We start from the raw sequence: 13,312 nt of genomic DNA, 5'->3' as shown, positions 1-13,312 counted from the left end.
CCCATGCTATGCTGTGTATTTTGTGGTGAATTGATAAGTGAGTCCTCTCTTCCCAGAGAAAATGAAACAGGGACTCAAGCATTTGAACATGATCAATAAGGACAGACCATCTGTAAAAATCCAGGATCCCCCACTCCTTCTCACCTTCCCCTCAACAGGATGCTTCTGCCTGAGTTACATAAATAAATGCACTTTGCCTGACCTCTGTAAACAATAAGAGAAAATTATTCGTTCATAAACGGAAATTTGCCCCGGCTCTTATTGATACATCTTTGTGCATTTTAAGGTCTTTTAACGTAAAACTTGTGCCATTCTTAAAAGTGCCAGCTATCTGGAGAGCATATCTTAATCTCAGAGTACAAGGTTGATTTATATTTCTCAGGGATCACAACTAAGATATGCTGTAGCCACATTGATTTAATGGTTCCTATAAGGCTCCTTGCTTGGTGCAGCCTCCATGCATCTTTTCACTAGTCAAGTCAACATTCGTGTCTTTTTAAAAACACAGTAAATCTCTTTGATTGGGACTTGAGGCTGGAATCATTCAATTTGTGTTAAACTAAACTGTCTTATCTCCTTGTGTGCCAGGCTCTCCCTGGCATGTCCAGAATGGCATCCCAGCATGGCCCGGGATGCCAGGGCATAAAAGCAGCAAACAGGATCATTCAGACAGGTCAGACAGGCTTTCTCTGGCCCTCCCACTGCTCAGCTCCCAATGATGAGAGACAGGAAAATGTCATGTGATTATTACTCCATAAAAAAGAAGAAGGCACTTCCTCCTCTATGGAGACAGACAGAAGCTTGAGCAAAGACCAATTAATTTCAAAGGGGAAGAGACAGCTGTACATATGTTCCCTATGAGTGATCTTAGGCAGAGTCTCCCAAATGCCAAGAAAAATATTTCTGTTGGGAGCTTCTGTTAAGAATAGCATTTTTCCTGCAGTTTTAATGCCCTTTTTAATACATTCATCCCATTGCCTAACATGTATTGAACACCTACTATATGCAGGCATTTTCTTGCTCATGATGCTTTCACGCATCCCCTCATCATGGATTCATCCATTGAACAACTATTGAACAAGCTCTTTAGTGTCAGGACCCTTGCCAGGTGCTGAGCACGCAGAGAGCAAAGACACCATCCCTTGCTTGGAGAGGGTCAAGGAGCATAGCATTGAGTCAATTCCCACTTAGCACTGGGCCCCTGCCAAGAGCTCTGTGACTGTTGTCTTGTTCACGACTCACAGCAATCCTGGACACATTTTACAGATGAGAAAACAAAGGATTCAGAAAATTTAAGGCACTGTTCCAGGCCTTTCCAATTTCATTGTGGAAATTCTTTCCAGCTCACTATTGACTATAACCTCAGAGAGCAAAGAATGTGCTATAAGGGAGATACATAAAAAACAACATGATAGCACCATCCTTTCCAGCCAAAGGTGACAGCAATTTCCATTTTTCTTTGTGCCCCTGCAGTTAAAAAGAGACAAATGATATGAAAAAGAGTTTGGCAGTTCTTTAAAAAGTTAAACGTGGCTGGGCGCGGTGGCTCACACCTATAATCCCAGCACTTTGGAGGCCGAGGCAGGCAAATCACCTGAGGTCAGAAGTTCAAGACCAGCCTGGCCAACATAGTGAAACCCCATCTCTACTAAACATACAAAAATTAGCCAGGCATGGTGGTGGGCAACTGTAATCCCAGCTACTCAGGAAGCTGAGGCAGGAGAATTGCTTGAACCTGGGAGGCAGAGGTTGCAGTGAGCCGAGATCGCGCAACTGTACTCCAGCCTGGGCAACAGAGTGAGACTCTGTCTCAAAAAAAAAAAAAGTTAAATGTAATTACCACATGGCCCAGCAATCCCAATCCTAAGACTGTACCCAGAGAAATAAAAACCTTTATTGAACAAAAATGTTCAATAAAGCATTTTATTGAATGACAGCATTATTCATAATAGCCCCAGAGCAGAATCAACCCAGATGTCCATCAAATGATGAATGGACAAATCAAATGTGATATATCCATACAAAGAAATATTATTCAGCCATAAAAAGGAATAGAGTGCTGATACATCCTACAACATGGATGAACATGAGGGAAGTCAAACACAAAAGAGCATAGATTGTATGATTCCATTTATATGAAAGTCCAAAGTAGGCAAATCTGCAGACAGAAAGTAAATTAGCAGATGTCAGGGCAGGAAGGAGGAGTGACTGCTAGTGGGTACAAGATTTCTTTTTGGGGTGATGAAAATGTTCTGGAATTAGATAGTGCTGATGATTGGACAGTCTTGTGAATAAACTAAAACTGCTGGATTGTACACTTTAATGTGGTGACTTTCACAATATGGAAATTATATCTCAATTTAAAAAGTGAGATGAATGGCTGTGGCTAATCAAGATGCTGATGAGGATCCTGCATCCTGCCACCCTGAGAGTCACAGCCCAGGAAGAGCCTCAGAATGGAATATACTCAGCCATAAAAAAAAAAGAATAATGTGTAGACATGGACGTAGAGTGTGGAATAATAGATATTGGAGATGCAGAAGGGTGGGAGTGGGGTAAACTGTGAGAAATTACTTAATGGGTACAAGATACACTATTGGGGTGATGGTTAAGATCAAAACTCAGACTTCGCCACTATCCAATATATCCATGTAACAAAACTGCACTTGTGCCCTTTAATTTTTTTTTTTTTTTTTTTTTTTTTGAGACAGAGTCTCACTCTGTCGCCCAGGCTAAAGTGCAGTGGTATAATCTCGGCTCACTGCAACCTCCGCCTCCTGGGTTTAAGCAATTCTCATGCCTCAGCCTCCCCAGTAGCTGGGACTACAAGCATGCACCACCCTGCCTGGCTAAGTTTTGTATTATTAGTAGAGACAGGGTTTCACCATGTTGGCCAGGCTGGTAACTCCTGGCCTCAAGTGATTCACCTGCCTCAGCCTCCCAAAGTGCTGGGATTACAGGCGTGAGCCACCACGCCTGGCCTATCCTTTAAATTTATACAAACAAAAAAAAAGAAGAAACACCATCCTTAAAAAGAAAAAACAAAAGAGCTATACGTGGTGGCTTATACCTATAATCCCAGTGCTTTGTGAGGCAGAGGCAGGAGGCTCACTTGAGGCCAACAGTTTGAGAACAGCCTGGGCAACACAGTGAGAACCCATCTCTGTTAAAAAAAAAAAAAAATTTAAAAACTGGACAGGTATGATGGCACACGCCTGTAGTTCCAGCTATTCAGGAGGCTTAGGCAGAAGGATCACTTGAGCCCAGTAGTTTGAGTCTGCAGTGAGCTGAGCTATGATCATGCAATCTCACCACAGCACCCCAGCCTAGAAGACACAGTGAGACCCTGTCCCTATCTCAAAAAAAAAAAAAGAAGAAAAAAAAGCCTTCTTGAAGAGCGCCTTTGCCAGCTCCTGCTGCTTCCGCTGCTCACAGCAAGGATGTCACTCTGTGGGGGGACCCAGCATTCCTAATGCACAGGTGCGGGGAAGGCAGCCCTCAGCAGAGCCCAGAAGCAGGTGACAGTCTCTCCAGCTCCCAGCTATCTGTCCTTATCCTGAGCTGGCCCTGGGCAAAGTGTCAGGGGCCCTTGGCACTCACTTCCTTTTTGACTTCACACAAGTCTTAGTGCTCTTTCAAATAGGCTAACCCTTCAGACTCTTTGCCTCAAATTAATGAATGAGGGAAGGGGGTTCACCCACAGTAATTTTTCTCCTCTCATAAAATAGCAGCTGCATTTAATCTTGGGCTTCAGCCCAGGAATTGGAGCCTGCAGTGAGTTATAATCGCACCACTGCACTCCAGCCTGGGTAACAGAGTGAGACCCTGTCTCAAAAAAATGAAAAATAAAATAATACACATTAAATTAAAAATTGAGCAGCCACTGAATGCAGATGTAAAGCTCATTACTACTCCGTCTACCCATTCTGAAGTGAGCCACTGAAAACTGGAAACCTCCTTCCAACGGGGCGCCCCACATCAGAGGCATCCTAGGAGGCTAAGAAGCCTCCCACTCCCCTGAAAGGGCTGGCTGGGTGCTTCAATTCATTAAGTCATACATCTTCCGAGCTGGAAGGATCTTCCAAACCATTTCACTCAGGCCCTTCGTTTTATAAATGAGAAAGCTGAGCCCTGGCCACTTAACTTCCTTATCCCCAAGTCACAAGCTAATAGAGGCACAACCCCATTCTCTCCTGCCTCCTGCCCAGGGCTCTTTTTAACCCAGCACACTGCTTCTGCAGAGTCAGCTCTTATTTGCAGAAATTCTACACTCAAGATGACCAATATACACTTCTCCTAACACCTGCATCGAGCACATTCCTCTCTGAACACACTGCAACCTAGATACGAAATTTCACTAATTAAGGTCTTTTTTTTGCAGGTTCACACAGAATGGGACCCTAGCGATATGAAAGTCAAGAAAAAGTAAGGAGTATCATTAGAGGAAAGTAAATGCTGGACCTCCAATGCTTATCTTAGTGGTCTTAACTCATGAAACCATTCCTCACCATTATAGCATCTCTTTGATGGGTGAAGGTTATTGTCATATGTTGTGACTATCAGAACTCTTGATATGAGAGTAAGAGAAAAACCAGCTCAAACTAGCTTATGAGAAAGGGACATAATTAGCACACAGAAGTAGACTTTAGGAAGGCTTGATCAGGGCTTCAAAAATGTCACCAAAGATTCAGTGTCCCTTTCTCTATCTCTTGACTCTGCTCTCCTCCAGATTGGCTCCACATTCATGGGGACTCATCCCATTCCAGAACTTACTCTTACTTTTAACTGGTGGAGAAGAGTAAGCATCCACTTTCCTGAGAGCTCCAACAAGAGAGAAGTGAGGCCGGGCGCGGTGGCTCACACCTGTAATCCTAGCACTTTGGGAGGCCAAGGCAGGCTGATTACCTGAGGTCAGGAGTTCGAGACCAGCCTGGCTAAAATGGTGAATACAAAATACAAAATTAGCCAGGTGTGGTGGTGCATGCCTGTAATCCCAGCTACTCGGGAGGCTGAGGCAGGGGAATTGCTTGAACCTGGGAGGCAGAGGTTGCAGTGAGCCGAGATCGCGCTACTGCACTCCAGCCTGGGCGACAGAACAATATTCCATCTCAAAAAAAAAAAAAAAAAAGAAAGAAAAATAAGAAGGCAAGGCGTGGTGGCTCAAGCCTGTATCCCAGCACTTTGGGAGGCTGAGGTGGGCGGATCACAAGATTAGGAGTTCGAGACCAGCCTGGCCAACATGGTGAAACCCCCTCTCTACTAAAAATACAAAAAACTAGCCAGGCGTGGTGGTGGGTACCTGTAATCCCAGCTACTCAGGAGGCTGAGGCAGGAGAATTGTTTGGACCCAGGAGGCAGAGGTTACAGTGAGCTGAGATCGCACCACTGCACTCCAGCCTGGGTGACACAGCAAGACTCTGTCTCGGGAAAAAAAAAAAAAAAAAAAGTGAGTCTCAATACTTCAGATTGTCCCAACAGAGGTTTTTTTTCTTCCTCCCATAGAACCATAGTCTCATTTTCATTCTCTCTATGATACTGAGGACTAATTAATAAAGGGCCATTAAACATAGAAGAGAATTCTGCAACCATTGGGCCTATACTTATTAATAAAGAGATCTCAACATCAGATTCTACTTTCTAAAGAGTGGCTTTCTCAGTCAGCTTGGACACTGAAAGAACTCAGTAGAGGGGTGAGGAAAAATAAAGCTCATGAGAATACTCTACTAGATCTACACAATATTTTCTTTAGAGTAAGAGATGATGCTCTGGAGGTTTGCATTGCTAATTATAATACACAGTTTGAGACCTTGAAATTGATCTATTATATAAGCAAACGAAAGCCTCCTGCTATCTGGGGTGATTCATCAAAACCAGAAAGTGTGCCATGTCACCCCATCCCCCCGAAAAGGAAACTGCTGGAAAGCATGTTATCTTTATAGAGTCATTTGGTTCAGCAAATACTTTCCCGTCAGTCAGCGTCAGCCACAGGCAAAAGTGTGAAATAAAAAACGTCGGATCTTCACTATGAGCAACATCCCTCACTCAAGCCTCTTTTTGGTTGTTTTGGTTTGGGTTGGGTTGGTTTTTTGTAGAAACAGGTCTCACTATGTTGCCCAGGCTGGTCTCGAATTCCCACCTCAGCCTCCCAAAGTGATGGGATTATAGGCGTGAGCCACTGTACCTAGCTCCCAGCCTCCTTTTGGAGCAAAATTTTTCTCATTTTCAGTGCCGTTGACCTTTCCCACACCCCCAGCGGCAGCCTCTTGTGCCCCCAGATGCCCAGAATCCCCCTTTTTGGATCCCTAGTCTTCCTTCTTCTGCAAACACTTCATCATCATTATCAACACACATTAGTTAAGTATCTATAAGGTGAAGACATTTGTGGGGCGATTTGGACATTGTTACTTTGTTGGTTCCTTGTATCAGTTTCTTTGTAAGACTGCCTCTTGCCTATTCCCTACAGTCTGGCAGGGTTGTCAATCAAAAGAAAACACTGTCCTCAGCAAATGGTAGACCTGCAAGTCAGGCTGGCCTATCGGCATAAACAACTATGTGACCCCAGTAAGACCAATGAGAGCCCTTTCTAGGGATTGCTATGAAGATTCAGAGAGTGACAAAGAGTATTTTCCTTCTGCTACACAAGCATGTGCTGTAAGAACCACATAAGCCAGACACTGATGGTGTTTATCTTTGGGCCTGAGAATAACATCAACCCAGAAAAGAGGAGAAGTGAACATGGGAGAGAGATGGCTCTAATGGCATTTGGAGTATTGGATTAAGCTGCATCTAAAGTTTTATCCTTAGCTTTTTATTTACGAAGCCCTTAAATGTTCTCTTTAGTTAGGTTACCCAAGTCATTGTCTTGCATGCAACCAAACAATCTTGAGTGATCTAACAGAATATTAAGAAGTATAAGGTATCAACACCCTACTATATAATCAGCTGAAGAGGGCCATGGCCGTATGACCCAGGTAAGAACTTTTACAAATAATGCATCAACAACACAGGCTTCCTATCAAAGCTTATTGCATCCAGAATTTTGTAACCAGCTGACTGATCTTCCTGTCTCCTGGTCCCTATTCTTCACTTTTTTTTTAACCAGGTCTTGGGTTAGTTGAGTAGTTATACCAGCTAACCAGAAGTTGGATTATTTTCCAATGACATGATTCTGTCACGGCATTGATCTGCAAGCCAGAACCCGATACGTAGTGTCCTACTAGAGCCAGAATACCCCTTTTTATGACCAAGGAACCAGAGGTATAGTGATTTCCAGAGTGGTACTTGTACCTGCATCCATTCATTGCACAGACCTGCCTACTAGAATGAAGGAGCAGCCACCCTACTAGCAAAATGGCCCTGCAGTGATATAGGGCTTGATGAGTAACAATGCGTGTGGCCTCTGGATCAAGGAGTTAAGAACTACCTGAACATTGAAACCAAAACCAAAGCCAGAAAGTCCCTATTCCAAAGGAAAGAGGCAAAGGGAAGAATCCAGGTAAAAGCATCATGACAGAATCCAGGATGTTTCAGGAGTAGGCAGCAGTCACTGCTCTCCACTCTTACCCAAGTCAGCCTCTCTCTTCCCTCAGATCGCTAACTTGGTTCCTGAGCACTCCAGGAGCTGACTATAAAGTTGGTGAATAAGATGTATACAAATGAAAGAATATCTACAACAAAGAGCAGGGTTTTTTTTATTTTCCTTTTTACTTTTTTAGGTTTTTTTTAACTTTTTAAAAATAGGGCCAGGGGTCTCACTATGTTGCCCTGGCTGGTCTCGAACTCCTGGGCTCAAGTGCTCCTCCAGCATCAGCCTCCCAAAGCACTGGGATTACAGGCATGAGCCACTGCACCTGGATTTTTTTCTTTTTTTTTTTTTTTTCAGAGGCAGAGTCTCACTATGTCAACCATGCTGGAGTGCAGTGGCACAATCAGCTCACTGCAACCTTGAACTCCTGTCTTCGAGAGATCCTCCCAGCTCTGCTTACCAAAGTGCTGGGATTACAGGCATGAGCCATACACCAGCCCAAAGACAAGATTTGACTAATGAATGATACAGGTAATGAACATGAGGGATTCAGATGGAGGAGAGCTTACTTCTTCCTAGGTAGCTCAGAAAATACTGCAGAGAAAAGATGAGAATGGAAGTGGACAGTTGAGGCAGAGTTGAATTTCAATGGCAGCAAGGGTATATTTAAAGCAATAGAAGATAAATTCACAAAGGCCCCATAGTCAAGACAGCAAAGGGCCTGTTGAAAATACTTTACCCAGCCTCTTTTCCAATCAGAAAAGAGGGCTTTCTATCTCCTATTCCTTGGGGTCTTATTTTCTTTCCTCTGATCTGATAAACTAATCCTTCCTGAAGTGCAAATGGATTGATGAGTAGCCCTTTCTGAGTAACATATTTGCATTTTAATGGAGACCTTCTGGACAGAGAGCCTTAAACCTAAGAAATGGCTGTGAATACTGGTCATTTCTGCTACTATGATAAATTGGTAGGAGAGAAATTTAGGACAGGAAAGTTTTCCCTCAAATAACTATTTTTTTGCATGTAGAGCTGGTACTCTCTCAGAGTTCAGAGTTTAATAAAACTCAATTTGCCTAGTAACCTGTATTTCTCATGGGAATGCTAGCATTCACATGCCAGCCATCCAAATCATAGCTACCCAAGAAAAGCTTACTTACCAATCACTGGTATGTTTCTAAATGTTCTGCAGGTCAATTGATAACTTCAAATGGACCAGAGCTGGCACCATAAGTGCCATGGACCTGTCATGCCTGCTAAACTGAATGGCAAAGTCCTTTAAATACAATAAATATTACATGTCACTTTGGGTTTCTTGAGTCTAATGCTCTCAAGTTTGGGAAATCTTATGAAGCAATGATTACGTAATTAAGATAAATCACAAAGGAAATTGTCTCATTTTTTTTACGATAGCAACAAGTCTTTTTTTTTACTTTAAGTTTGTTTCGTTTTTATTAGAATTAGTAGTAGTATTGCTCTGGAAAGAATGTTCTATTCAGAAGCAGAAAATGGGAAGTAACTGTGAATTTACAATTTTCTTACCCTAGCTCATATTTATTTCTTTTAAACACAAGTACTTGTCATCAAACCAAAGTTAAATATTATGATGTCACAGATGCTGAACTAAATACATTAAGATACACAAAATACATGGGTACTATCATAGTCCATGACAGAAAAAAACTCATTAATTAATCTTTGAGACAAGAGAAAAAGGTTGGTTGGAACCCTACCTCAGCTTCTTTCATGACATGAATATGTTCATTAATCTTTCTAGACTTTAATATTCCCATTAGAAAAATGTAGGCCTTGTCAACCCCAAAGTATTGTCATCATAGATTGTCGAATGGTTTCTTTTGAAGACTCAACTAAGTGCAAAGTTTAAAGTATTAATTATTTTGTATTATTTCACTCATTACAATTCAGCTTTAAAATATAAGGGAATATATTACACAAGGTTATTTTGGAAGTAATTCCATAAAAATTTCAAAACTAAAGGATATAATTAAGTATATAATTAACTTCTACCATATCCATATGATAGAACCATTGGCCTTCTCCTGTGCCTTTACTGGAACATTGATTAAGCTCAAGCCCAAATTGACTGTTGTTGGCCACAATGGAGTACCTGATATTATATCAAATACCTCTGGTTCTCAATATAGTCATAGCTTCAAAGAATTTTTTCTTTCAATTCCCAGAGGAACCACCGTAGGAGGCGTCTTACTTTCTCCAGAGTTTAACATATGTACAATTTCAGACCAAACACATTTCTTTTAAAAGCCCACATATCAAAATTGTGCACTGCATCTTAATGCTGTCTGTGCCCCAGTATGTAATTTGTTTGGGGTTTTTCTGTTGCTTTTTTGTTGTTGTTGCCTTACTTTGAATAAGTAAATTAACCAATGAATGCCTGAGGACACGCAGCACATGTTCAGGGCTTGTGACACAGAAGGGCATAAAAGCAAGGATGGTAATATCTGCTAATAGAACTTCCCATCCCAGGAGGGGGTTTTCATTTCTTTTGTTTGCACAATTTAAATAGGCAAAGCTACCCCTTTAAATGACACGAACCTTTTGTCCCTATGAGATTTCGGTTATCAGGCCACAGTCTGTCAGTTTGAAACCATTTCCTTCCCAATTAGCTTGCAGTTGGGTGGTGTGTCATGCTGTTTTGCGGTTTCTCCACCTTCATTTGACCTTCAGCATCATCTGCAATGCTCTCTGTTTAGCACCAAAAATCACAATCAATGCAGAGAGGCACCTGGTGTGTTTGCTCAAGAATTTTGTGCTTGAAACCTTATAGCTTGAGAGGATTTGGGGACTGTGGTTTGTCTGTAGTTGAAGGTTTCCTCTGTGACTGGGATACTTTCTCTTCCTGAGACTGCAGGGAATAACAACCCCAGAAAATCTCCCTTACATTTAATGCTCCCGCGCATTAGTGGCAGTGCAAGGGAACACACCTTTATCAGTAGATACTATCTCTTCGACCCTTATCTTGTTTTAACTGAGATTTGGGCTATTTCCCCTTAAGCCAATTCTCTCTAGCTATTCCCATCCCCTTCCTTCCTGCTTCACAATGATTGCCTACAGACAGAGACTGCAGCCCACCTAAACATCATTTCTCATACTCTTCTTTCTCATTACTGCCACCACCCAATTATAAAATACAACTGAATAGCATAGAATGACAATGTAAGTGGGGGGGAGGAGAAAATCAATGAGTCCAGTGCAAACATCCAGTCTGTCTGAAAGAATCCCAAAACAAAGGTAAAATAAATACCAGCTTACCCAGTACCTCTGCAGTTTGAGACTGAATCCTACCAGAGTGAAACCGCAGCATCTGAAAACAGTAAATGGCATAATTAAAGAAACCCTTAAATCAAAATATATAAGTGAGACCTGTTTCCATGAATATATCAGGTTATTATTAAGCCATTGGAGAAGGTGTAGGAAATATTAAAGAATCACTTAAAAATTTTTAAAGCAATAGCTTCACCTCCAAGCTTTAAGAAATTTCTTAACTTCTAACAAAACAGAAAGTTAGTTTTGAAATTTCAGAAAGACAGAAAGCCCTAAATGTCATTTGTTCCAGTCTCCCTGTTCTACAAGTGAGGAAACTGAGGCCCCAGAAATTCAAGGCACTCAATCAACACGAATGAAGAGACCCAGAAGCATAGCTGCACACATAAGAGCAGAGGCCCGTCCTTCCAAACCCTACCTCACTTTTTCCATCCCATTCTCTGGGAATCAGAAGAAGCTTGAGAAGTAGTAATGGCAGAAAAGAAAGGTCTAAGTCCTCAAAATTGTTTGTTCAGCATTTTATCTGGAGTCTGCCTCTTTTGACATTTAAATCATCAACCTCTTGCCAGGTGAAAACTCTGAAAAAGAAGAGAAATCACAATCTGGCTTAAGAAGTTTGACAAAGAAGTAAAGCAAAGAAATGTCAAAGGGTTAAAGCTGAGCATCCAGACTACACAAAGAAGCCCTAAGTGAGCTGATTGTAGTAGGAGCATTAGCCTGAAAATCAGTACTGCCTGGGAGCACTTCCATCTGTCAATCAGAAAACATTAGAGTGGGTACTTAGAGAGTTAAGAGCAGACCCAACAGCCAAAATGATGAGCTTCCAAGTGAAATCTAAGGAATAGCGACTGTGATTTGCTATGGAGAGGTATCTATCACTCTATCATAACTATTGCCATTGCCATCAACTTTAATTTTCTACCTAGACACCCACCAGAATGGCTAAATTAAAAAGGACAGACAACTCTAAACACCGACAGGGGTATGGAGCAACACCATACGTTGTGGGTGGGACCGGAAAGGCGGAACCACTGTGACAAGTTCTGATAGTTACTTATACAACTAAACATATATCTACCCTTTGTCCCAGCAATTCTACTTCTTGGCATTTACCCAAGAGCAACAAAAACATATCTTTACAAAAAGATTTATACAGTATTCAGAACAGCTTTATCCATGGAATCCAAAAACTAGAAAAAGTCCATCAACAAAAAAATGAATAAACAAACTATAGAATATTCATACAATGAAATATCAATCAGCAAGTAAAAGGAACAAACAACATTACCCACAGCAATATGGATAAATGTCAAAATGTTATGCAAAGTGGAAGAAGCCTCACACAAAAGAGTCATTGGTGGAAAAGTCAGAACACTGGTTGTCTCTGGAGGGGTGGGGCTGGGGAGAGGCAGAAATTGACTGGGAAAGGGTGTGAGGGAACCTTCTGGGGTGATAGTTATATTTTATAACTTGAGAGAAATTTGGGTTACACAGTATTTATCAAAACTCTGTAAATCTGTACTCAAGACCTGTGCATTTCATTGCATGTACATCTTACATCAAAAGAAAAAAAAAACTGTAAACGTGTTAAACTTTAGTTATATATGCATATTATGAAGTATTTAGGGTTAAGTGTATTTATGTCTGCAATTTATTTTGAAATGCATCAAAAATATAGACTCATAGATGGATAGATGAATAGATAAATTAGACAGATAAATAGATGATTGATAGATAATAGCTAGATAGATAAAAATAGCTATAGTAAAATATTAATAGCAGACACTCCATTGTATATAAGTGTTCACTATATAATTCATTCATCTTTGTTGTCTGTATGAAAAATTTTATAATAAAATGTGGAGGGCTAGATGAGATGGCTCACACCTGTAATCCTAACACTTTGGGAGGCCAAGGCAGGAGGATTGCTTGAGCCTAGGAGTTTAAGACCAGCCTAGGCAACATGGCAAAAACCTGTCTCTACAATAACAAATAAAAATAATTAGCTGGGCTTGATGGTGCCCATCTGTAGTCCCAGCTACTAAGGAGGATCACCTGAGCCTGGGGTGGTCGAGGTTGCAATGAGCCATGATCACACCACTTCACTCCAGCCTGGGCAACAGAGTTAGACCCTGCCTCAAAAATAAAATAAAATAAAGTGTGGAGAATAAATCTTTTAAGATTTATGACTACGTTTAATCTGTATTAGCAAATCTCTGTCTCTCTCTCACTCTTTCACACACACACACACACACACACACACACACACACCCCACACACATTACCCTATTCTCTAGGAATTTCCAATCCCAGGTGTAAAGTTCATTAATTTGAATGTGAACATATCTGTGGGAACTTCCTCTAAGGGTCCCTTCAGCATGCACAGGAAAAAACATGGTAGTCCCATGGCAAGTTTTTGCTGCCTGAACAGCTTGGGCTTGGATCCTGGTTCTACTACTTTAGAAAAAGCTGTCTACTTTCTCTGTG

General features: G+C 41.4%; 1 annotated feature.

The window, feature by feature from the left end:
* Nucleotides 10,364-10,413: an enhancer, noted in NCBI's record as "active region_13192". NCBI's record gives its function as "activates an Ori minimal core promoter by ATAC-STARR-seq in GM12878 lymphoblastoid cells {active_cell/tissue: GM12878}" and the evidence as "EXISTENCE:reporter gene assay evidence [ECO:0000049][PMID:35858748]".

This window comes from Homo sapiens, chromosome 18 (assembly GCF_000001405.40).
Source record: "Homo sapiens chromosome 18, GRCh38.p14 Primary Assembly".
Taxonomy (NCBI): Eukaryota; Metazoa; Chordata; class Mammalia; order Primates; family Hominidae; genus Homo; species Homo sapiens.
This window is presented reverse-complemented; position numbering and strand designations above follow the sequence as displayed.